The 23,883-nt window shown below is 38.6% G+C and overlaps 1 protein-coding gene and 1 pseudogene across 16 annotated transcripts in view, besides 1 other annotated feature; one reads left to right on the top strand and one right to left on the bottom strand.

Moving 5' to 3' along the window:
• The window catches only part of LRP6 (LDL receptor related protein 6), a 151,020-nt gene that overhangs the window by 92,329 nt on the left and 34,808 nt on the right, over positions 1–23,883 (top strand). For 15 of the 16 annotated variants that reach the window (NR_182264.1, XR_002957325.2, NM_002336.3 and 12 more), the window contains 6 exons: positions 9,421–9,637; positions 10,154–10,443; positions 12,297–12,523; positions 14,752–14,936; positions 15,561–15,887; positions 23,678–23,880. Coding sequence is in view for 14 of the 16 variants with exons in the window: in NM_002336.3 (NP_002327.2) it covers positions 9,421–9,637; positions 10,154–10,443; positions 12,297–12,523; positions 14,752–14,936; positions 15,561–15,887; positions 23,678–23,880 (1,449 nt within the window). In the remaining 2 variants the exon portion in view is untranslated. The remainder of the gene's footprint in view (positions 1–9,420; positions 9,638–10,153; positions 10,444–12,296; positions 12,524–14,751; positions 14,937–15,560; positions 15,888–23,677; positions 23,881–23,883) is intronic. The other variant, NM_001414255.1, reaches the window with a different exon arrangement.
• Positions 2,459–2,508: a silencer, noted in NCBI's record as "silent region_4250". NCBI's record gives its function as "represses an Ori minimal core promoter by ATAC-STARR-seq in GM12878 lymphoblastoid cells {active_cell/tissue: GM12878}" and the evidence as "EXISTENCE:reporter gene assay evidence [ECO:0000049][PMID:35858748]".
• Positions 18,912–19,493, bottom strand: RPL21P100 (ribosomal protein L21 pseudogene 100; annotated as a pseudogene).

Genomic DNA, 23,883 nt, shown 5'->3' with positions numbered 1-23,883 from the left:
ACTTCCTTTATTTCATCAATACCCTAATAAGGAAATTTGTTTCCCAAGTATTCAAACTTCTTTTTTAAAGGAGTTTCTTTGTCTGGTATCTTAGCCTTTGTACTGTTAAAAACATATAGGAACCTGTTGATAATTTTTTTTACTGTTGGTTTGTAAGATTAATTCCTCATTAAGAAATTATAATAAATCTATTGTTGAGATAAGGCTGTTCTGATAATATGACAAGTATCAACAAGTACTTCCTTTTGAATCTTTGCCAATTTGTAACATTGTGTTTCTTAAAATTGATTATACCTTCAGTTTGAGGCTGGGCACGGTGGCTCACGCCTGTAATCCAGCACTTTGAGAGTCTGAGGTGTGCTGATCACTGGAGGCCAGGAGTTCGAGACCAGCCTGGCCAACATGGTGAAACCCCGTCTCTACTAAAAATACAAAAATTAGCCAAACGTGGTGGCATGCGCCTGTAATCCCAGCTATTTAGGAGGCTGAGGCAGGAAAATTGCTTGAACCCGGGTGGCGGAGGTTGCAGTGAGCCGAGATCAGGCCACTGCACTCCAGCATGGACAACAGAGCAAGACTCTGCTTAAAAAAAAAAAAGAAAGATTGATTATACTTCAGTTTGAGAAATATTCAAAATAACTAATTTAAATACCTAAATATTTGCCCATTTGTGCTACTTTACCACACAACATGTACTGTATGTTAGTATGGATATATATTTCTCCCCAAATCTTCATAACATATGATCAGAGAAGAATGATATTGATAAACTCCATCATTAGATTCCTCAACTCAGCAGAGCACCTGGAGTTTGGACTTAATGTTCATTGAGTTGTAAACCTGGTGCTGGCCTGTTGTGTTATTTTGTGTCTGGGGTACATCGCATAACAATGAAATTTGTGAATTCCTATTTGAAAATTGCTAGTTGATTATTGGGCACAGTGGCTCACACTTGTAATCCTATCACTTTGGAAGGGTTGAGGTGGGAGGATCCCTGGATCCCTTGAGGCTAGGAGTTTGAAACCAGCCTGGGTAATATAGTGAGATCCCCGGCTCTACAGAAAATAAAAATTAGCTGGGCGTGGTAGTGCACTCCTGGAGTCCCAGCTACTTGGGAGGCTGAAGTGGGAAGATCACTTGAGCCCAGGAGTTTGAGACAAGCCTGGGCAACATGGCAAAACCCCATCTCTATAAAAAATGCAAAAATTAGCTAGGCATTGTGGTGTGCAACTGTAGTCCCAGCTACCCTGGAGGCTGAGGTGGGAGGATCACCTGAGTCTGGGAGGCAGAGGTTGCAGCGAGCTGAGATCATGCCACTGAACTCTAGCTTGGGCAACAGAGCAAGACCCTGTCCCCCCAAAAACAAAAGAATTTATTTTAGCTGTGCTTAAAAAGAATGAGAGCAGAGAGGGCAGTTTTCCCTTGTTGACATGTTAATCTTTTCCCTATTAGGTTTTTGGGGCCTCAGGACAGTGAGGCTTTCAGAAGTGTCTTATGAAGCAGTTGAGTATAATTGACCAGGATGTTGACATTCGTCATCATGATGCCTTCATCTGGAACTCTGTTCTCAATTTTTTCGTTTCCTGGAGTAATTCAGGTTTTAGAAAGCTTTGGTCACAGTAGCAATTTTTAGCTCTAACAGAAAAAGAGCATAGTAATTGCAAATCTTTAATATTCAATGCCTGATTCCTTGCAAAAAATATTATAAAACTACCCAGAGTAACTATGATACTTCAATTCTTTTCATATTTAAAATCACTTATATGTACTCAGACTTAATGTATCTTGAAGTAGGTTAAAAGGCTTTGAATATAGCACTGTAATTGCCCCTACCTCTCTCTCAAACAGGTGTGTGGTGTCCCTTTACTTCACCTACTGGGTCCAAAGCATTTCTTTATACTTGTCATCTCAGTGAGATTTGGCATGATTGAAATGTTATTTCCGTGGATAAATATTCTGTGTTTTAAAATCCCATTTGTGTGAAATTATATTTTATGTTCTATGAAGTTGTATCAGAAAAAATATGCTCCCCAACCCTCAGTCATATCTGTCTTCCTTATGTATAAGCTTTTAATTCACTGCTTGTTTTGGATATTGTCTGGAACATTAGAAGAGGAGTGGTTCATTTTGGGCATAATTTGAGTTTCTCTTCTAGAACTTTATAGCATTCCAACTCTAGCACATTTTATGGTGGTTGCTTGGTTGTCCTCCTGCATCTGTTCCTTGAACTTGTCTTGTCAAGTGAAGTTGCATAGCAGCAATTTTGGTAGTAGACTGGCTGCATTCCAAGATTGCATGGGCAGTCCTGTCTTGACATTTAATGAGCTGATGAAATGACTCAAAAACTGGATGTGATGTCTGTAGAAGATTTGCCATTACTTCTTCTTTGTGCAGATAATGTTATGGTTAACCCACGTCTATTTCCTCTTGTAGCCTATATTCTCAGTGTGGTTTAGAATATTTCAGAATGTTAAACCAATGTGCCACAGTGTGGTCAAAGCAGCTGAAACCACTGGAGACTCTGGTTCAGATTTGGAGTTAGATTTTAGAAGTGACAGAAGCCTAATTTCAGTTTAACTAATTAAACCACTCTGAGGTAATACAGTGAAGTACACCCTTAAGAGTTGTCAGATTTAATTAACATTGGCACAGTTTTTAAAGCATAAGTGTAATCTTTTGGAATTGCCTAAAGTGGTTCATTTGTTCTGGGTTCAGAATATACAAACAAGCTTTTGCCAGGATTTGTGTTATTTTAAACATAAGGAGCTTAAACTGTATTTATAGACCTAGTAACCTGTCCAAAACTTTTACAGGAATATGAGAAATGGAATAGTGATTTCTTTAAGACAGAGCAACATGTTCTTATTTCACTATGGTTAACTTGTGCCCGGTAGAAAAAGATTGTGTGGCTGGTACAAGAGAAATACTTAGTGGAGAAGTCAGTTTTCTAATAGTGTCACCTCTACAAAAGTAATGGAAGGAAACATTTCAGAAATTGGACTTTGTGTGAAGGAAAATACATTATCTGTGTGTTTAGATGCAAAGTCTCACAGTCAGATATTGTTTAAGCTGGTGATCCCTTAATCTCTTCGGAGGATCCTTATAATTCCTTTCTATACCATACTAACAAAAATGATAATAGCGTTTATTTATTTATTTATTTATTTATTTATTTATTTATTTTATTTTTTTTTGAGACTGAGTTTCACTCTGTCGCCCAGGCTGGAGTGCAGTGGCACAGTCTCGGTGCACTGCAAGCTCCACCTCCCGGGTTCACGCCATCCTCCTGCCTCAACCTCCTGAGTAGCTGGGACTACGGGCACCCGCCACCACGCCTGGCTAGTTTTTTGTGTGTGTGTTTTTAGTAGAGATGGAGTTTCACCATGTTAGCCAGGATGGTCTTGATCTCCTGACCTGGTGATCCGCCCTCCTTGGCCTCCCAAAGTGCTGGGATTACAGGCGTGAGCCACCGCGCTCGGCCAATAATAGCATTTATTAATAACAGCAGTTATCATCATCATTATTATTTGTGTGTCCTTGGACTTGCTTCTTAGCTTTTTCTCTTCATTTTTTAAAAATTATGGAAAATGTCAGAGTATAGAAAGCAGAGTAGAGACGACCATGAACTACCTAGTTTTAACCATTGTTAGTACATGGCTGATCTAGACTGCAGCGTGTCTTAAGCAGGAGGGCTAAGGAGATGGCAGAAATGGGTTTTCTAATAATATATCTATGGTCTTAATACTTCCTTTTTGACATAGCCTAAAATAAATGAAAGAATCAGGTCTTTGTTGCTCCTTCTAACTAACCTCTTAGCTAGTGTTTTATATGTAAACTTGCAAATGTGACAAGAAGAAAAAAAGTAGTTTTTTTCATCTAAGACGTGTGTGTGTGTGTGTGTGTGTGTGTGTGTGTGTGTGTGTGAAGTAATTTTAACTTCATATTAGAATTAAATAGTATATAGCTTGGAAGAAAGAAAGACCAAATAAAAGACATTTGTTTGAAGCTTTAGTGAGCCTGATCGATCTGAGGTAAGCCTGAAGGTGACAGGTATAGAGGGGACAGTGATGTAAACTAAAAAAGGAACCAATTAATTTTATTATAGGCTGTATGTAGTCACCACTCTGAAGACTCTAATCCAGCACAGTGCAATATGTAGCCACTAATTACATGTGGCTCTGCAGAACTTAAAATGTGCCTAGGTTGAATTAGGATGTACTTTAATTGTAAAACACATTCTAAGAGACCTAGTATTAAAAAAAAAACCATAAATGTCATTAATAAAATTTTAATATTGATTACAGGTTGAGAGAAAAGAATTTTGGATGTGTTAGATTAAATAAAGTATACTATTAAAATTCTGTCTACTGTTTTATACTGTTTTTGAGATGAGTCTCATTCTTTCACCCAGACTGAAGTGCAGTGGTGCGGTGTCAGCTCACTGCAACCTCTGCCTCTCAGGTTCAAGCAATTCTGCCTCAGCCTACCGACTAGCTGGGATTACAGGTGTGCATCTCCACACCTGGCTCATTTTTGTATTTTCAGTAGAGAGGGGGCTTCACCATGTTGGCCAGGCTGGTCTTGAACTCCTGGCCTCAAGTGATCCACCCGCCTTGGACTCCCAAAGTGCTAGGATTACAGGTGTGAGCGAAAACATTCTCCTGGCATGTTTTGTACTTTTTAATATGACTACTAGAAAATTTTAAATGGACACATACGGCCTACATTGGTGGCTTGTGTTATATTTCTCCTGGACAGTGCTGTTTTAGATCCAAACCTATTGTAAAAACTACACCAGATGAGAACAAGGAGATCAGGAATTAAAGGAAACAGTGTGCTTACAAAACGTGGTTTTAAAAAAATCTTTAATAAATCTTAATTACATTGCTTAACTTGAAATAGACATGAATTGATAGATCTTGCTTTTGTATTTACGTCATTACCAAAAAAAGACCTTTTAGTTTTTGCTTTTCGAGTGAGAGAACAAGGAATGGTTGGAAGGGACTAGTGCTCAAGTGAGTAAAGCAACCAAATCATTAGTTGTGCCTTCTCAGGAACTATTTTGAGTTCTTCGCCACTGTGCCATTCTTAATACCTTCATTGTTAATACCTTTGTTGAGCTTGTTAATACTTTGATCGTGGTCTTCATTTGTTGTCCTTTCAGCAAATGTTGCTGAAGACCTTTTTCTTTTCATTGTTTGCTTTGCTCTCTTCTTCCTGAGACCCTTGCTTGTATCTAGAGCAGTATTAACACTGATCCAAACCCCAGTTTTCTCAAGGGACTGAAGTGAAGATGAGCAAAGTATTTCTGATCTATAATCCTTTATCTGCAATTCTGAAATCCAAAGGGCTCTGAAAACCAAATGCTGCTTTTGTTAATTGATTTGGTGGAAAACTTGATCTGAACCAGTGTGAGACTATTTGTAGTCTGTCCCACACTGCGGGCATACTTTTATTTATTATTATTATTATTATTATTATCATTTTGAGGCAGAGTTTGCTCTTGTTGCCCAGGCTGGAGTGCAATGGTGCGATCTTGGCTCACTGCAACCTCTGCCTCCCGGGTTTAAGCAACTTTCCTGCCTCACCCTCCCAAGTAGCTGGGATTACAGGCGTTAGCCACCACTCCCGGCTAATTTTTCTATTTTTAGTAGAGACAGGGTTTCACCATGTTTGTCAGGCTAGTCTCGAACTCCTGACCTCAAATGGTCCTCCTGCCTTGGCCTCCCAAAGTGCTGGGATTACAGGTGTGAACCACTGCGCCTGGCCGTGTTTTATTGCAGAAATATTAACATGTTTGGCTATAAATAGTGCTGCCCTGAACCCAAGTAGAGGTGATATGCTATGTGCATTGTGTTAACCTTTCTTTAAAAAAAAACAAAAAGACAAAAACAGTCTGAATTCAGGAATACAACTGACCCTGACTTTAGATAAGGGATTTTGGACCTCTCTTGCCATCTCACAGAAATTGAAAATATTTTGCTAACCATAATTCTATATTGGTTTATTTATTTTTTTCATAATTCTACATTTAAAATAAGATATTTATCTTTAACACAAGCTGAACAGGGTGACAGAGATAAATGAAGTGTTTCTGAAACATGGGTTTATTGTGTCACCCTGCTTAAAGTGCTTTCAGAACCTTCTTGCTTTCTGTAATTCTCCTTATCCTGGAATTTAATACCTGCCATAGGGTGGTATCTGCTTGATGCTGTATCCTTTGAGTCCCCCATGTGTTCGTTCTATCTCAGTCAAGGCATTTCTTTCAAAGTCAAACATGTCGTGTGCATCCTTGGCTTTGCTGTGTCTTAACTCATTTCTTTTTTTCTAGAAAATCTGTTTCTCTTTTTCTTTGTCAAAATTCTAATTCTTCAAGATGAATTTCAACTGCTATTATTTCCTGAAGTTTTTCCTGATTACTTACAGAGAGGGGATATGTGTGTAATTTTAATGTAAATATCGTTTACCTCCCCAATTAGATTGTAATACATTAGCTGGAAGAGGCCCTGTTCTAAACTTCTCAGCATTCATCAGGTCTATCATGGTGGTTTGCATTTACTAGATGTCTTTACTAATGTTGTTTGATTTGCGGGGAGGTGAGTTAGGGGTCTGGCAGAGCAGCAAAAGTGTACTCATATGAAATTGTCAAATATTTGTTCTTTTTTGTTTACTGTTTTAGTTACTTTATATCTAACTAGCAAAAGTAAACAATAAAAATGGGAGTAGGAAATGGGAGGCTGTAGCTGTGTAGTTTCCCACTGGTTTCAGGATACATAAAGGTCTCTTGGTTTTTGTCTTCAGTTTAACAGTGAGTGGTTGTTTTGGTCTTTTATTTTCATATATTCTTTTATATTTATGTATTTTTATTTTGAAGCACTACATTAAATAATTAAATACAATCATTTAGCTGTTTACATTTAGGAACTAAAGCATTTTAATAAAATGATTTTTAAAGGACAGGAACCAGTGTTTACCAGATAGTGCACCTAATACTGTGCTATATATTTAGCATTATTTTATTTGATCCTTAACTAATTCAGTGATGGCAGTGGCGCTGTCCCTTTTTTTTTTTTTGAGACAGAGTCTCACTTTGTTGCCAGGTTGGAGTGCAGTGGCGCGATCTCGGCACACTGCAACCTCTGCCTCCTGGGTTCAAGCGATTCTCCTGCCTCAGCCTCCCGAGTAGCTGGGACTACAGGTGTGCGCCACCACGCCCAGCAAATTTTTTGTATTTTTAGTAGAGACGGGGTTTCACCATGTTGGCCAGGATTGTCTCCATCTCTTGACCTCGTGACCCACCCGTCTCGGCCTCCCAAAATGCTGGGATTACAGGCGTGAGCCACCGCGCCTGGACTGCTGTCCCTATTTTATTTGTGAGACTTGCTTAAAGGTACCCACTGAGTGATAAAGCTTATATTTGAAATACAAATCTCTTTCTGCCACAATACTGTTTGCTGATCATGAGAAATTTTTTAGAGAACAGAAGAATGAAGGGAAACTGGTAAATAGAAGATGCAGAATTATGTTTACTAAAAAGGTCTTAGAATTGTGGCATTTATTATTTTTCTCACAATGATTTTTAATTTCATTCTTACCTATTTTCTGTCTTTTTAAAGATTTTTTTCCTAGGCTGGAGTTACTTAGGCTGGAGTACAGTGGCTTGATTATAGCTCACTGCAGCCTCAAACTCCTGGGCTCAAGCAATCTGCCTGCTTTAGCCTCCCTAGTAGCTAGGACTACAGGCTTACCACACCATGCTTGACTAATTTTTTGGTATTTTTGTAGAGACAGGGCCTTGCCATTTTGTCCAGGCTGGTCTTGAAACCCAAGGCTTAAGTGCTCCTCCTGCCTTGGCCTTCCAAAGTGCTGGGATTATAGGCATGAGCCACCATACCCAGCCTCATTTTCCTAATTCATACTTAATCATCCATCTTTTGTTTAAGCTATTTATTTATCAAAATAAACAAAAATGTTGGAAAGTGATATAGCTGAAAGAGAAAAGATTTTGTTGATCTCATAATAGAAGTAGAAATATAAGTGTTATTCTTTAAAAGTTTAATATTGGGCATCTAGTTTATGCTTTTACACCAGCAAATTTTAATAGGAAAGCCAACATTTGAATGTAAAGATCAGCAAAATTAGCGTAATTTATTAAATGTAAGATAATGCAAAATAAGATAGAATTAAATCTAAGAATAAAACCGAATCAGGCATATTTTAACATACCACAAACTTATAAGAAAGTAATATTTTTGTATTGTATAATACAGAATATTTATCACTCTGTGTTGGGTGCTCCCTAATAGAATGATTGAACTCTCCCTAATGCAGGACATAGGTTCACTGTTAAGTATATGACCTTTTAGATGAGGTAGCAGTACATGTTCCTGGAAATGCAATTGGAAATGCTGCAGTAGAAACTGAGAAGACCTTGTTCTGTTCTGAAAGATGCAGCAAGCCTTCCAGAGTCCCAGTGTTCAAGTCCCTACCTGAGACCATTTCTGTCACTTAAAGGGGCCTGCGTGCTGGGCAAATTAGCCTTTAGAAATGTTATTTCATACTAAAAACATGTACATGTGAACAATATCTGCTCCTACCCCCCCAAAAAAGGTATCAGATATAATCTTATATGTAAATATCAAATATTAGTTATATTATGTCAATAAAGGTATCCCAAGTAAGTCAACACTGAATAGTGCATGGTGAATGCACTGTGAATACAGTATGAATGCCAGAGTGAATTTAATAATGTTACTATTAGGTAGTTGGAAAGAGAAGGTACATCCTAGTTTCTTGAAACTTAGATGCAGAGAGGGTGTCATATAATCCCGATACTTTTGTGATTATAATCTCAGAGGAATGAGAGATTTATTGAGATCCCTTTTATCTGTTTTTTGTTGTTACTGACAACAACAACAAAATAAAAAGCATGCTAAGTGGAAAAAGTCCTGAAAAAGACATCAACTGTGTTTACAAGCTCTGTGACCTTACATGAATCTCAGTTTCCATAGGCAAAGCTCTCAAGATAAAATAAAAGATGTTATAAAACAAAATATATGATAAAATAATGTATATGAAGGTACATTATAATTTGAAAACAAATGTGCAAACTTAAGGTGATGATACTGTATTTTTAATTTTGCCACAATTGTTTAATAGAAGAGTTGCATAATCTAAAGTTGCCAGAATTTTTAGAAGGAAGAGTAATATGAGATTGGGGGGAAAAGTGGTCAAATAGAGGCTTATATGGAAAATTTGAAATCATTTTTATAAAATCATCATGTAATTTTGAGAAAGCATTGTAATAGGAATACCAAGATGACTCTTGGATTTTTATACAACAGGCAGTTGGATTTGTTATTTTTAGCTGAAGAATAAATGCATAATTCATCCCCTTCTCTTTTGAATTTAAACCTGAAGGTTATGAATACTGATGGCACTGGGAGACGAGTACTAGTGGAAGACAAAATTCCTCACATATTTGGATTTACTTTGTTGGGTGACTATGTTTACTGGACTGACTGGCAGAGGCGTAGCATTGAAAGAGTTCATAAACGAAGTGCAGAGAGGGAAGTGATCATAGATCAGCTGCCTGACCTCATGGGCCTAAAGGCTACAAATGTTCATCGAGTGATTGGTGAGTAACTCCAAAGCTTTCTTAGAAATGGGAACCAGGAATGAAAAAAGATGGAGATAGTCAGCAGTGTAAATTATTGATGTTTTGAGGCAATTTTGAAACCTTCTTTACTGCCCCCCCGCCTTTTTTTTTTTTTTTTTTTTTTTTTTTTTTTTTTTTACTGAGAAGGGACCTTTTAAACGTTGACTTACTACTCTAGCTACCCAGTTTGAATTGAAGGGCTGAATACACATGCACAGGCACACCTTCATCAAAAGAATTCAGTCTGATAGTATGAATAATATACCTTACTTTAAAGCTTACTGTGGTATTAAAGGAAAATACTTCACCATGCTTTTACTCCCTATTAATCTGCATATTACTTGTTTGTGATATTAGAATTGAAACTTGAGATTGGGAGCAAGACATAATCATAGGCATTTGTGAACCAAACGCTTAAGTAATTTAAAAGTGAAAATATGTTGAATGTATCAATGTGTGTGTCCTTCTGTGCCCCTTTTATAATTAATCTTTTAGGTTCCAACCCCTGTGCTGAGGAAAACGGGGGATGTAGCCATCTCTGCCTCTATAGACCTCAGGGCCTTCGCTGTGCTTGCCCTATTGGCTTTGAACTCATCAGTGACATGAAGACCTGCATTGTCCCAGAGGCTTTCCTTTTGTTTTCACGGAGAGCAGATATCAGACGAATTTCTCTGGAAACAAACAATAATAATGTGGCTATTCCACTCACTGGTGTCAAAGAAGCTTCTGCTTTGGATTTTGATGTGACAGACAACCGAATTTATTGGACTGATATATCACTCAAGGTTAGCAAAAGAATTGGAATATTAAAGCTAGGGACTAAAAGGGAGAACTTCTAGAATTTCTGAATCTTCATGCTGTGACCCACCTCCCTCATTGTTTGACAGGCAGAGTTCAACAAAAACCCTCAAGTTTTTTTTTTTTTTTTTAAACGGTGTCTTGCTCTGTCACCCAGGCTGGAGTGCAGTGGTGCAGTCTCGGCTCACTGCAACCCCTGCCTCCCAGGTTCAAGCGATTCTCCTGCTTCAGCCTCCCGAGCAGCTAGGACTACAGGTGCGTGCCACGACGCCCAGCTAATTTTTGTATTTTTAGTAGTGACGGGGTTTCACCATGTTGGCCAGGCCGCTCGAACTCTTGACCTCGTGATCCGCCCGCTTCGTCCTCCCAAAGTGCTGGGATTACAGGCGTGAGCCACCGCGCCCAGCCAAAACCCTTAAGTTTTTAAGTGAAGGGAAAGGCCCATTCAGTATTTTATTAGATGCTTTTTAATACAGATACTTTGCCAGAGTGTTTTAAATCTGCAAGCCATAGTCTTCCTCTACTTTCTTCCATTTGAAAATGATGAATGACATTTTCTGCAATTAGCTGAGTAAGGAAATGTGTGCTTCACGTAAAATGGCTGTTGATTTACTTTAAAAAAAAATTCGTGATTTACTTTAAACAAAATTTTAGGGCCTGACTGAGGCGGAAAAGGCCAACAATGAGTTATTCTTTATTTTCTTCTTCCTAGAATAGTTACTGAAAAGAATACCAGGATAGCCAGAGAGGAAGCTCCCAACCTATAAATCTGAAGAATAATCTTTTCTTCTTCCAGATTGTTTTGGGCTTGTTTCAGATAACTCATGTAAACTTTTTTGTAATATGCGAAAACATGGGGTGTTGGAGTCAGAGTTGGATTCTAATGGTGTTCAGTTAAATTTATTAAGTGAATAAATGAAATAAATAAATTTTGGTTTGCATTGGGTGATGTTCTAAATTTCCTCATCTTGAAAATGGGGGGTGGCTGGGTGCGGTGACTCAGGCCTGTAAATCCCAGCACTTTGGGAGGCTGAGGCACATGGATCACCTGAGGTCACGAGTTTGAGAACAGCCTGGCCAACATGACAAAACCCCGTCTCTACTAAAAATACAAAAATTAGCTGGTCATGGTGGCGCATACCTGTAATCCCAGCTACTCGGGAAACTGAGGCACGAGAATCACTTGAACCTGGGAGGCAGAAGTTGCAGTGAGCCGAGATCATGCCACTGCACTCCAGCCTGGGTGACAGAGTGAGACTCTGTCTCAAAAACATAAAATAGGGGTGATGCCATACTTGCAGGACTGTTGTATTAAGTGACAAAATCTACGGACAAAACGTACTTAGGATAATACTTGATAAGATGTATCTATTATTAGTTTGAATTATGATTTTTAAAAGTGTTATGGGACTCAGTGCTATAATGGTAGTATAATGGTTACATTCATTTATATGGTAGGCATGATGACTTGCCATAATCTTAAGCACCTTTAGAAAATTGACCACTAATTAAGATCTGTAGCATTGTGGTCACAGCTTTTCCACTTGATTACTGATAAATTTTAAAAGTAAAGTCATTCTGCTGTTAGTAGAATAAATTTTTGGTGCATTAGAGTTTTAAAATTTCTCCCCTGAATTGGCAGTAAAACTTGAAGTTGCATTTATTAGAGATTGACATCAAATTTTTCTGTGCTTGCAAGTTATGTGAATTTTAATAGGAAATAGTATGCCTCTTGGCACTTCTGGATCCTCTTGCCCCTGACAAAAACCAAACCAAACCTTCTTTCTGGATAGGGTTTAGACTTATGCCATATGACTTAGTTGTTAATGTTCTTTTGCAGACCATCAGCAGAGCCTTTATGAATGGCAGTGCACTGGAACATGTGGTAGAATTCGGCTTAGATTATCCAGAAGGCATGGCAGTAGACTGGCTTGGGAAGAACTTGTACTGGGCAGACACAGGAACGAATCGAATTGAGGTGTCAAAGTTGGATGGGCAGCACCGACAAGTTTTGGTGTGGAAAGACCTAGATAGTCCCAGAGCTCTCGCGTTGGACCCTGCCGAAGGGTAAACAGCTTTACATGTGCATTCTTTGCAACTGCAGTGTACATTTCGGGGAACATGGCATAGTTACAGATGATATTCTTAATGTTTTAAATAATACGTATTAGGAATCTGAGAACTAAATGATAGATGAACTTTTAAAAACACTATTGATATTTTGCTGATTTGAATGAATAATTATTAGCTAATTTTACTCTTGTCGTAATTAACTTTAGGTGAAGAAAGAGGGGAATGGGTTAATAAATGTTACTGATGAGTATACTGATATGTTAAGTATATATACCAAGAGGTATTATCCATCTGTAGTTGCTTGCACTCCTTCCCAGTTATACTAGATTCCAAGCCTATTGAAGTAAACCCACCGAAACAATGTTGTGAGCTAAGAAAAAACTACATTTAAAAAGCTTTATTTTGGAGTATTTATTAATTCAAAATGGATAGTTTGGTTTGATCATTATTATAAACTGGCAGTAGCTTTGTTATTACAAGATAGAATAAACTGTTCACAACATGATGTTTTTCAAGGGCGAGTGTTCCTTTTTACAAGAGTCAGCAAATTTTTTAAAGCCGGCAGCTAAGAAATCTGAAATCTAAAGAAAAATTCCACTTATAAAAGAAGTCAACAGGCCGGGCGTGGTGGCTCACGCTTGTAATCCCAGCAACTTTGGGAGGCCGAGGCGTGGGCAGATCACAAGGTCAGGAGTTCGAGACCAGCCTGGCCAACATGGTGAAACCCCGTAACTACTAAAGATAAAAAAAAATTAGCCAGGCATGGTGGCATGTGTCTGTAGTCCCAGCTACTCTGGAGGCTAAAGCAGGAAAATTGTTTGAATCTGGGAGGTGGAGGTTGCAGTGAGCCGAGATCGTGCCACTGCACTCCACCCTGGGCAACAGAGCAAGACTCCATCTTGGAAAAAAAAAAAGAAGTAAACAGTGTGAACATATAAATATGTTTACTGTATTTGCTACTTAAAATAATTTCCCTGAAGTGACATTGATTCCATGATTAGCTAGTAATTCATCTAGTCAGCACTGACATATTGTGGTGATCTTTGCTCTAAACATTAGCTGCCAGACAGATAAATTTAATAGTTGGGACTAATTGGTTGCTGCTGGCAAGTATGAAATTTCTCTCACAGTTGTTTCTCTTTGGCTCTTGTGGTGTGCACATGCCTGTCAAATGACAAGTGCAAATGCATATAAAGGCAGGACACCTTCAGTTTTCAGAAAAGCATGTTCATACATTGCTACCAAGTCAGCTATCAGCTGACAGGCTGATGAGTGAATATATGTCCTCAGGTATTTCGTGAGAGCTGGCATGTGATGTGCTTTTTTAGTTCCAGTATTCAAGAGTCTCAAAAACTAGCACCTCACTAGTTTACTTGAAAGGGCATTTGGCCAAGGATTAGGTTCTAGTTCTAGCTCTGTCATCTAACTGGCTTGAAGACATTAGATAAGTTGTTCACATTTCTTGTAGTGTTTTGGGCTCTTCATCTATAAAAAGCCTATACTGTAGGATTACTGTAAGATTAAAGTGCAAAACTCAAAAATGGAAAATAACAGCAAAGTAATTATTCTAAAATTTCACAGAGATTGTTGTAGCGTAGTGTAGTGTTCATTGCCCAGTGGACACATCAAGGGGTGAGTCGTTGTTCTTACCATATAGTATGCTCCCTTGGACCATATGACCAAATACATTTTCAAGCTTTGCTTTTGACTTCAGTTAAAGGCTTAGTATTTATAATTACCTTTCATGTACTTCTGCAACTTATTTTGAGGAAGAGTTGATTACACAAGTCAAAAAGTAAGTTCAGCATATTAAAAACTCAAATTAGTTAATATTCAAAAGTATATAAAAATATTTTACTCAGAAGTGAACCAGATTCTGAGACCAGAGCTTTAAACCTTTGCTGTTTTCTTGAATGTTAATTTTACAAATGCCAGTACTGCAATAAACTGTTGGTTTATTTCCAATTCCTAGGTTTGGATGGAACAAATGTATTGGAAAGACTAAGGAAAGCTGACTCACTTCCTTTTTGGGATATGGAAAAAAATATTTAGTTTAGGGTGCCAAAATAATTGAAAGCATTGTAGCCGTGATTTTGTTTAACCCATTTCCTTGATTTGCTGTATGTTTTCTTTAAATTTATTTAGTTACTTTGCATGAATATGACTCTTTCCCCCAGATAATAAAAAATTGAAATGTTAAATATTTATTATTTTGAATTTAGATTTATGTATTGGACTGAATGGGGTGGAAAACCTAAGATAGACAGAGCTGCAATGGATGGAAGTGAACGTACTACCTTAGTTCCAAATGTGGGGCGGGCAAACGGCCTAACTATTGATTATGCTAAAAGGAGGCTTTATTGGACAGACCTGGACACCAACTTAATAGAATCTTCAAATATGCTTGGTAAGCTTTACTACTTTTTACTCAAACAGTATATTCTTTCCATGCAAATATCAGTGGCTGCTATTTATCATTGGTTAGATACTTTTAATACAACTTCATATGAATGTGTCCATTCTTCTTCTGTTCTGGAATTGTATCCTGTTTGTTATTAATAGTGATCCAGGTACTTGGATTCATCTTTTTATTATGTGAAAGTTTCATTATTATTGGACTTGTAATGAAATTTATAACTCCCTAGATACTCCTGAAATGACTTTTGTACCAGTAAAATATATATATTTCCATCTTTTCCTTCTATAGTTCAAGAAGAAAAAGTGAACTGTAGACCCTTATATAGAGAAAATAAAACCACATTTAAAGTAGACCATTTGCAAGAATTTTAGGAAACTGAGTGATTTGTAGCAGGAATATAAGTTTGAAGCATGGGGTCAGAAGATAGATTGATTTCAGAGAATTGGTCTCGTTTTAGAATTGCTTTTAAATGAATTTTTCTATTTTAAATTGCTTACAATGTAATGTTTTATATGTTAGGGCTTTTTTTTTTCTTTTTGCCAGCAAGACACTTGTATTCTCACATATTTCATCACTCTGCTTCTCCCCTGTCTACTGCCTTTCTGAAAATAGGGCTCAACCGTGAAGTTATAGCAGATGACTTGCCTCATCCTTTTGGCTTAACTCAGTACCAAGATTATATCTACTGGACGGACTGGAGCCGACGCAGCATTGAGCGTGCCAACAAAACCAGTGGCCAAAACCGCACCATCATTCAGGGCCATTTGGATTATGTGATGGACATCCTCGTCTTTCACTCATCTCGACAGTCAGGGTGGAATGAATGTGCTTCCAGCAATGGGCACTGCTCCCACCTCTGCTTGGCTGTGCCAGTTGGGGGTTTTGTTTGTGGATGCCCTGCCCACTACTCTCTTAATGCTGACAACAGGACTTGTAGTGGTAAGCTGCATTTCCCTCCAAAGCAAGCTAGAATGAGAGAAAGCAGCATTTTCAAAGTACTTTAGTGTGTGTTTTTTCTAAAGTTAAATAGTGTGGAAATCCAGAGGGGGTTATTTGTTTGGTTAAAGGGTAGGGGAATGCAAGTGTTTGTTACTTATTACTTGTTTGATGATAGCAATTTGATGTTATAGAAAAATTAAGTCTTATGCTGGTCCATTGTCTTATGTCCGTAACCCAGCACTTTGGGAAGCTGAGGTGGGAGGAATGCTTCAGCTCAGGAGTTCAAGACCAGCCTAGGCAATATAGCGAGACCTTGCCTCTACAAAAAATAAAAAAATTAGCCAGAGTAATGGTGTGCATTTGTAGTCCCACCTACTCAGGAGGGTGAAGTAGGATGATCACTTGGCCCCAGGAGATTGAGGCTGCAGTGAGCTATGGTGGCACCACTGCATTCCAGCCTGGGTGACACAGAGAGATTCTTTCTTCAAAAAAAAAGGAAAAATTAAGTCTTTTACCCTTGGACATTAAATATTAAGTGTAAAAGTTGCATAGTTTCATGCATCATATTTATTGTAAAGGAAGGGAAGAACATTACAAACAGTAAAACAGTGAATCGCAAAACACAACTTACTTGTCCTTTGAAGTGCAAAGAGTAGGACAGTCATAAAAAATTTAAATGTTTAACAGGCCATACAGAAAACGCGTATGAGAACATGTAACCCAGTATAAAGTAACAGTTGATGAGAAACTAAAGAGAACATGCAATGAACATAGTAGGCAGTTGCAGTTTAACTGAAGCTGATGTTACCAGATCTTTTCATTTGGTCCTGAATCTAGATTTTTTTGTGTGTGTGACTCCCTCATCTCCTGATTTTTAAATACCGGCAAGTACACACATAACACTAACAACAAAGTGTGTAACAAAACATTGTTGGCTAGGGGAAACCTGGCTTATAACTTAAATATATATGAAGGCCCATTTCTTGGTGGATAGACAAGAACAAATTGGTAGATACGATTAAGAAATAAGTAGATTAAATCAGAAAGAGTAGATTATGGGAGGGGTGTAGGGTTTGGGTCAATATGATGGAAAGTAACAAACTGCTAAGGATATTAGAGGTAATTAACTATTGACATGACTTTCTTTTGTGCTTGAGAGAATGTGTCAGAATTCCCATAGGAAAAATTTGGTCTGTTCTGATGCCAACTTCAGTTGTGAAAGAGAAAGGACACAAGCATGTAGTGGAATGATTAAGAGGTTATACTTTGGAATCTCTGCCACACATTAGCTTTTTTGCTTTACACAAGTAATAAATTCTTTAAGCCTTTATTTTTTCTCATTTGTAAAATTGGAATAATAATAGTAATTGCTGTATAGGGTTGTTATGAAGATTAAAGATAATACATGGTCTGATTTCTGGGGAGAACCAGTAGCAGGGAAGTCAGTTAGACCAGTGTGGTAATGCAGGTAGACCTGGACAATGGTGGTGGCAGCAGCGTGTGTGTTGAAGAGAGGTTGATGGATTCGAGATGTATGTGGAAGCTAGAGCAAGCAGAAGTTGTTAATGAGTTCTGTGTGGGAAAGAAAGGGAGGAAGCAAGGATGACCTCTAGATTATGTGTCATAGATGATGGACTATCATCGGAGAAGAGACATGAGGTTGAAGATACAAATTTTGGGATTACCAGGATGTATTTAAAATGAATGAGGTTACCTAAAGAGAAGGTATAGTTCAAGAGCCAGCAGCTTTCTCTCATAGGCTTTGTGGGTGTTTAGGCTGTCTCACACCTGCTGAACTCTGCCCAGCTCTCGCCATGGCAGTGTGAGAGCAGCCTCAGGCAATACATTTTAAAAATGGAAGTGGCTGAATTCCAGTAAAACTTTATTACAGAAACAGGCAGCAGGCCAGATTTAACTTGTGGGCCATAACCCCCATCAGTGGGCTAACTCTGATGGAGAGAAAAGAAGGCACTTGGTAAACTATGCAACTCTGGTTGAGGAAGAGAAGTTCACAGAGAACACTGAGAAGTAGCAACCAGAGAGGTAAGAGGAAAAGCGGGAGAGAATAGAGGCACGAAGACAGAGATTAGGTTGTTTCAAAAATGAACTCTGTTGAATGAGTAAGGGGAGGTCTAAAATAGCATACACTGGATTTTTGGGTAAAGTGGTTATTAACCCTGAAGAGAGTAATTTCAGGGAAGTAATGGTGAAATGCAGAATGCAGTACATTAAAACGTGAATGGAAAAAAGGAAACGATAGTGACATATATAGACATCTCTTTTGAGAAGTTTGGCTTCTCATTTCACACAGAATAAAAACCTAGTTCTTATAATGGCCTACTGGGTCCTACATGACCTATACCCCACATTTCATAACCCCTTCTTCACTCTCACTCCCCACCACTCAGTTTTCTTCTCTAACCTCAGCTTTTACTCTTGTCTCTCTTGCTTTCTTCATTACAGCCACACTGGCCTCGTTGCTGGTTTCAGCTAGGCCGGGTACTCCCGCTTCATGACTGTTGAACTGCTTGTTTACTCTGCTTGGAGTGTTATTGCATATATTTGCGTGGATACCCTTCACGTCCAAGTCTTTGCTTAATTGTTTCCTTCATAGTGACACCTGGTCTATGCTATTTAAAATTAAAATTATGCTGCCATTCTATCCAACGTGCCAGTGCCCCTTATCTGTACTTTTTCTTTTCTTTTTCCCATAGCACTTTCACCTCTTTATGTATTATGTAATTTATATACTCTACTATTTATGTCACTTCCTTCTTTATTATATTTGTTGCTTATTGTCTGTTGGAATATAAACTCCATGAAGCAACAATTTTTTTTCTGTTTTCTTCATTGACATATCTTATGTGCCTTAGAATAACACTTAGTCTGTGGTAGATACTCAAGAAATTATTGTTAAATAAATGAATGAAGAAACAAGGCAAGGCTTGGAAAAACACATACGCTGTTTTACCCAACAGCTTTGTGACCTTGGGAAAATTATTTAACCTTTTTTTTTTTTTTAACAGTCCAGAAGTCTTTTATTTTTTTAACACCTATTATGCCATGAATTCATAGGGAATAGGTTCCAGCAGCTCAGGCTCCTTCCCACTGGTTCTCACAAAATATGCTTCTCTGGGTGGAGCAGGCTGGCGCTTCAGTTGAACCCAGGTACCTTTCTCTTTGGCTTCTTTCTTTTTCTGATCATTTTCCTTCTTTTTCTGATAACTTTCCATTTTCTGATAGCTTCCTTTAGGAAGCTATCTCGGCTCTTAGCGTGCTTAACGTGCTGAATATGCATATTAATTCTGTTGGCAAGAATCTTGCCCTTAACTTTTTTGTTTACAACAATGCCAACAGCATGCTGGGTAACATTGTAGACCCTTCCAGTTTTGCAGTGGTAACACTTGTGGGGCATTCCTTTTGAACAGTACCCATTCCCTTGATGTCTACAATATCACCTTTCTTACAGATTTGCATATAGGTGGCCAAAGGAACAACTCCATGCTTTCTAAAAGGCCTAGAGAACACGTATCGGGTGCCTCTCCTCTTTCCCTTTGTGTTCATCATTTTGGCAAATTACTGGAAGATGGCAGTTCTGGCTGAAAGACTTTTTGTTTGTTTGTTTGTTTGTTTGAGACAGAGTCTCACACTGTCACCCAGGCTGGAGTAAAGTGGCGTGATCTTGGCTCACTGCAACATCCGCCTCCCAGGTTCAAGTGATTCTCCTGTCTTAGCCTCCTGAGTAGCTGAGTTTACAGGCGTGCATCACGGTGCCTGGCTAATTTTTGTGTTTTTAGTGGAGACGGGATTTCACCATGTTGGCCAGGCTGGTCTTGAACTCCTGACCTCAGGTGATCCACCAGCCTTGGCCTCCCAAGATGCTGGGATTACAGGCATGAGCCACTACGCCTGGCCTAACCTTTCAGATCCTCAGCGCACTCGCCTATAAAATAGAGATAATTTTGTGGATTAAATAACATTTAGTATGATATGTAATATATTGGAGGTCCTAAATAAATTTTTCTTTTCCTTTCCTCGTCTCAAATTTTATTTTCTTACTTTCAAAATCATAGCTACAAGGCTCTCCTTGTCACTCAGTGCTTCTTTCTGGCTTTTTTCCCTCTTTTTAAGAGATCAGGTCTTACTGTGTTGCCCAGGTTAGACTTGAACTCCTGGGCTCAAGCAGTCCTCCCACCTCAATCTTCCGAGTTGCTGGAACTACGAGCACATGCCACTGCGCTAGGCTCTATTGCTTGTTTCTTTGTTTCTTCATATATTATTGTAATGAGTGTTTATTTATCAAGCACCTATTACATGCTGCGCATTACTTCAGCCGTTGGAAAACATAGCAGTGAATGAAATTCAGTGGAACAGATAATAAACTAAATAAATTATGTCAGGGGTTAGGTGGCAATAAGTATAATGAAGAAATATAAAGAGCAAGAAAGGGTGATGGTGACAGGGACTGCAGTGTTAACTGGGGTGATTAGGGAAGTTCTTACTGAAAAAATGACATTTATGTCAAGAACTGAAGGAAGTGAGGAAATGAGCTATGCGGATACTGGGAGAAGGCCTATCAAGCAAAAGGGGATAGTAAATGCAAAAGGTCTTGGGGGAACATGTCCGACATGTTAGAGGAACACCTAGGAAGCTAGTGTTGCTGGAATGAAGTGAATAAAGAAATTAGATCAGAGAGGAAATGGGAAGCCAGATTGTGTAATCCTTTATTCAGTACTGAAGTGGCCTCTGTGGCATCTTTGTGCAAATTGGAAAAAGATGTTTCCTCTGAGCAGATTTAGCCCTACAGGTGTATGGCGTGGCTAAGGAAGTGTGGACTGGATTTCAGTTCCTACTCAATGCCCCTGGCACAGAGCACAAATGGTACAGTCATACATGATGGTCTTGGCCTTATAGTTTATTCTATTCTTAAACAAGAGCAACACCTTTGTCTAAGCTACCAGTGAACACATATGCCTTCAGAAGAGAACTGAAAAGCTCCCTCCTACGTACATCTCATCCTCCAGCTTCTCTGATGTCTCCATTGTGGGAATGCGAGACTCAAGACAACCAGATGAGGTCGTTGTTAAAGCACCATTCTGAAGGAAATGTGAGAGAGGTGGTTAGAGTTTAATAAATTTGATAGGGTGGATTTAGGCTTTTAAAATGGCATATTCTTTGTCATTTTAAACACTGACTTGAAAATAGGTCAAAATATTAGCTGCCTTTTAGAAATAACCAGTTAATTTGTAATTTTTAATATATTTGAGTAGACTTTTTGGAGCAGGTATTTATTTGGAGCCACATATGGCTTTCTCTTAATCTGCATTTCTAGAACAACAAGATCCACAACTAATTGTGGAATCTTATTGAAGGTTAAAATTTTGCTTGGAAAAGAGAGTACCCAGCAAAATATCCTAGGAGCCAAATATATATTTGATTAATTGCTTCCCAGGCAAGAAAATATGGGAACTAAAACTCTGGGATCTTTCTTCTAAGTCTTTTAAACAGAAGGGGGTCTTGCTGGGTTGTTCAGGCTGGTCTTGAACTCCCAGCCTCAAGTGATCCTACTGCCTCAGCCTCCCAAAGGGCTAGTATTACAGGCATGAACCACTGTGCCCAGCCAATTTAGAACCTTTAAAAATTTTTTTCTTGCTTTACTAAGAAAGTAGTACTGCCAAAATATAATTCTTTTAAAATAAAAATGATAGTGGGAGACTTTTTAGCTATTCTGTGTGATGTGTTTTTACTACTCGAAGTATGGACTCCACAAAAATTGCTAAAAGTTGTTAAATCAATGTATTAGTATGATGGACTCCAGAAATGGAGATTTGTAGTAGGATCATTGGGATAACTTTCTAAATCTTCCAAGCTGAGTGTGGGTTTTTAACTAATGAAGAACTTAAAGCAGAATTGCAGTTTTGTAGATAACAAGTTTCTTTGTGAGTACTGATTTCCTTTGGGATTTAAGCCAGTATTCATTTGAGTGTAAATGTAAAATAAGCTGAGAGACCACAAATAATGGAGCTGTGAAGAATGGGGAATAGGAGGAAATAAAGCAAGGAGTCGTGGCTTGGCTATTTATGTTTTATATTCCTGAGAAGGACAAAATTCTCCTGTATTTAGGTGATGTCTAAGCACTAAGAAAATAGAGTATAATTATGAAATGTATACAGATATTTTAATGAAGATTTAAAAAATGGCCTTAGACTTTGAAGTTGTTGGTAGTCTCCCAGAAGTCATTCTTGGCCAGGCATGGTGGCTCACATCTGCAAACCCAGCACTTTGGGAGGCTGAGGTGGGTGGATCACGAGGTCAGGAGTTCGAGACCAGCCTGACCAGCATGGTGAAACCCTGTCTCTACTAAAATTAAAAAAATTAGCTGGGCATGGTGGTGGGCACCTGTAATCCCAGCTACTTGGGAGGCTGAGGCAGGAGAATCGCTTGAACCTGGGAGGTGGAGGCTGCAGTGAGCCGAGATCGCACCACTGCATTAGTTCATTTTCATGCGGTTGATAAAGACATATTGGAAACTGGGAACAAAAAGAGGTTTAATTTACAGTTCCACATGGCTGGGGAGGCCTCAGAATTGTGGTGGGAGGCAAAAGGGACTTCTTTCCTGGCGGTGGCAAGAGACAAATGAGAAAGAAGCAAAAGTGGGAACCCCTTCAGATCTCATGAGACTTATTCACTATTATGGGAACAGCACGGGGAAGACCGGCCCCCATGATTCAATTACCCGCCCCTGGGTCCCTCCCACAACACATGAGAATTGTGGGAGTACAATTCAAATTGAGATTTGGGTGGGGACACAGCCAAACCATATCATAAAGCATCTATTATTATTTTTGTAATTTTTACCTGCTCTCTTTCCATGCCGTCCTCACATAAACAACAAAATAGTATCTGCAATCCATTAAGGTTTCAGTGCCTGTTAATACCAAGTTTATTACTGCCACTACTGGTAATAAATAATTATTTTAAATTTATGGGTGGGCACAGTGGCTCTGCCTGTATTCCCAGCAGTTTGGGAGGCCAAGGTGGGAGGATTGCTTGAGCCCAGGAGTTCGAGACCAGCTTGGGCAACATGGCGAGACCCCATCTCTATTAATTTTTTATAAATAATTTTTAAGTTATTAAAAACATTAAAAATTTACATTTATATAGTGCCTTACAGTTTCTAAAGTATTTTCATATACGTTGTAAAATTCTTGTAGCAACTCAGTGAGAGGGACAAGATGACTATGACTTTTATTTTACCGCTGAGTAAACTTTGGCCTAGAGAGGCTCAGTGACTTAAGATCAAATGAGAAGGCTGAGACTAAAAATCAGCCTTCTTTTTTTTTTTTTTTTCCTTAGATGGGTCTTGCCCTGTCAAGTGTAAAATCAGTCTAGAAGTTTCTGCTTTAATTTATAAAAGCCCAGGCTTCCTGCCACCCACCAGACAGAATAGGTTAAGGGTTATTCACTTGGTAGACCAGGAGAATTTTGTATATCAAATACCTGATGGAAATGAAGTTTTCTGTGGTATCTCTGTGGACAAGATGGAGAAAAACAGGGTAGGTGGCTATGTCATTAGGTAAATTCATAACTGATTTGGTAACCAGAGAGCTGATTAGTGTTACTCTGAAGAGAGTTTTTGAGGGCATGCCAAAGAATTTTGTCCTCAGCCTTAGCTCTTCAACATCTATGTCTGTTTTGTATGAAATACATACAACAGGCTGATCAAATCATTGGATGATAGAGGATGTAGGGTAACTAGATTTCAGATTTTCTCTTTTCTTCCTTTTAAGCTCCTACGACTTTCCTGCTCTTCAGTCAAAAGAGTGCCATCAACCGCATGGTGATTGATGAACAACAGAGCCCCGACATCATCCTTCCCATCCACAGCCTTCGGAATGTCCGGGCCATTGACTATGACCCACTGGACAAGCAACTCTATTGGATTGACTCACGACAAAACATGATCCGAAAGGCACAAGAAGATGGCAGCCAGGTA

This window comes from Homo sapiens, chromosome 12 (assembly GCF_000001405.40).
Source record: "Homo sapiens chromosome 12, GRCh38.p14 Primary Assembly".
Lineage (NCBI taxonomy): Eukaryota > Metazoa > Chordata > Mammalia > Primates > Hominidae > Homo > Homo sapiens.
Note: the sequence above shows the minus strand (reverse complement) of the source record. Positions and strands in the feature narration are given on the sequence as shown.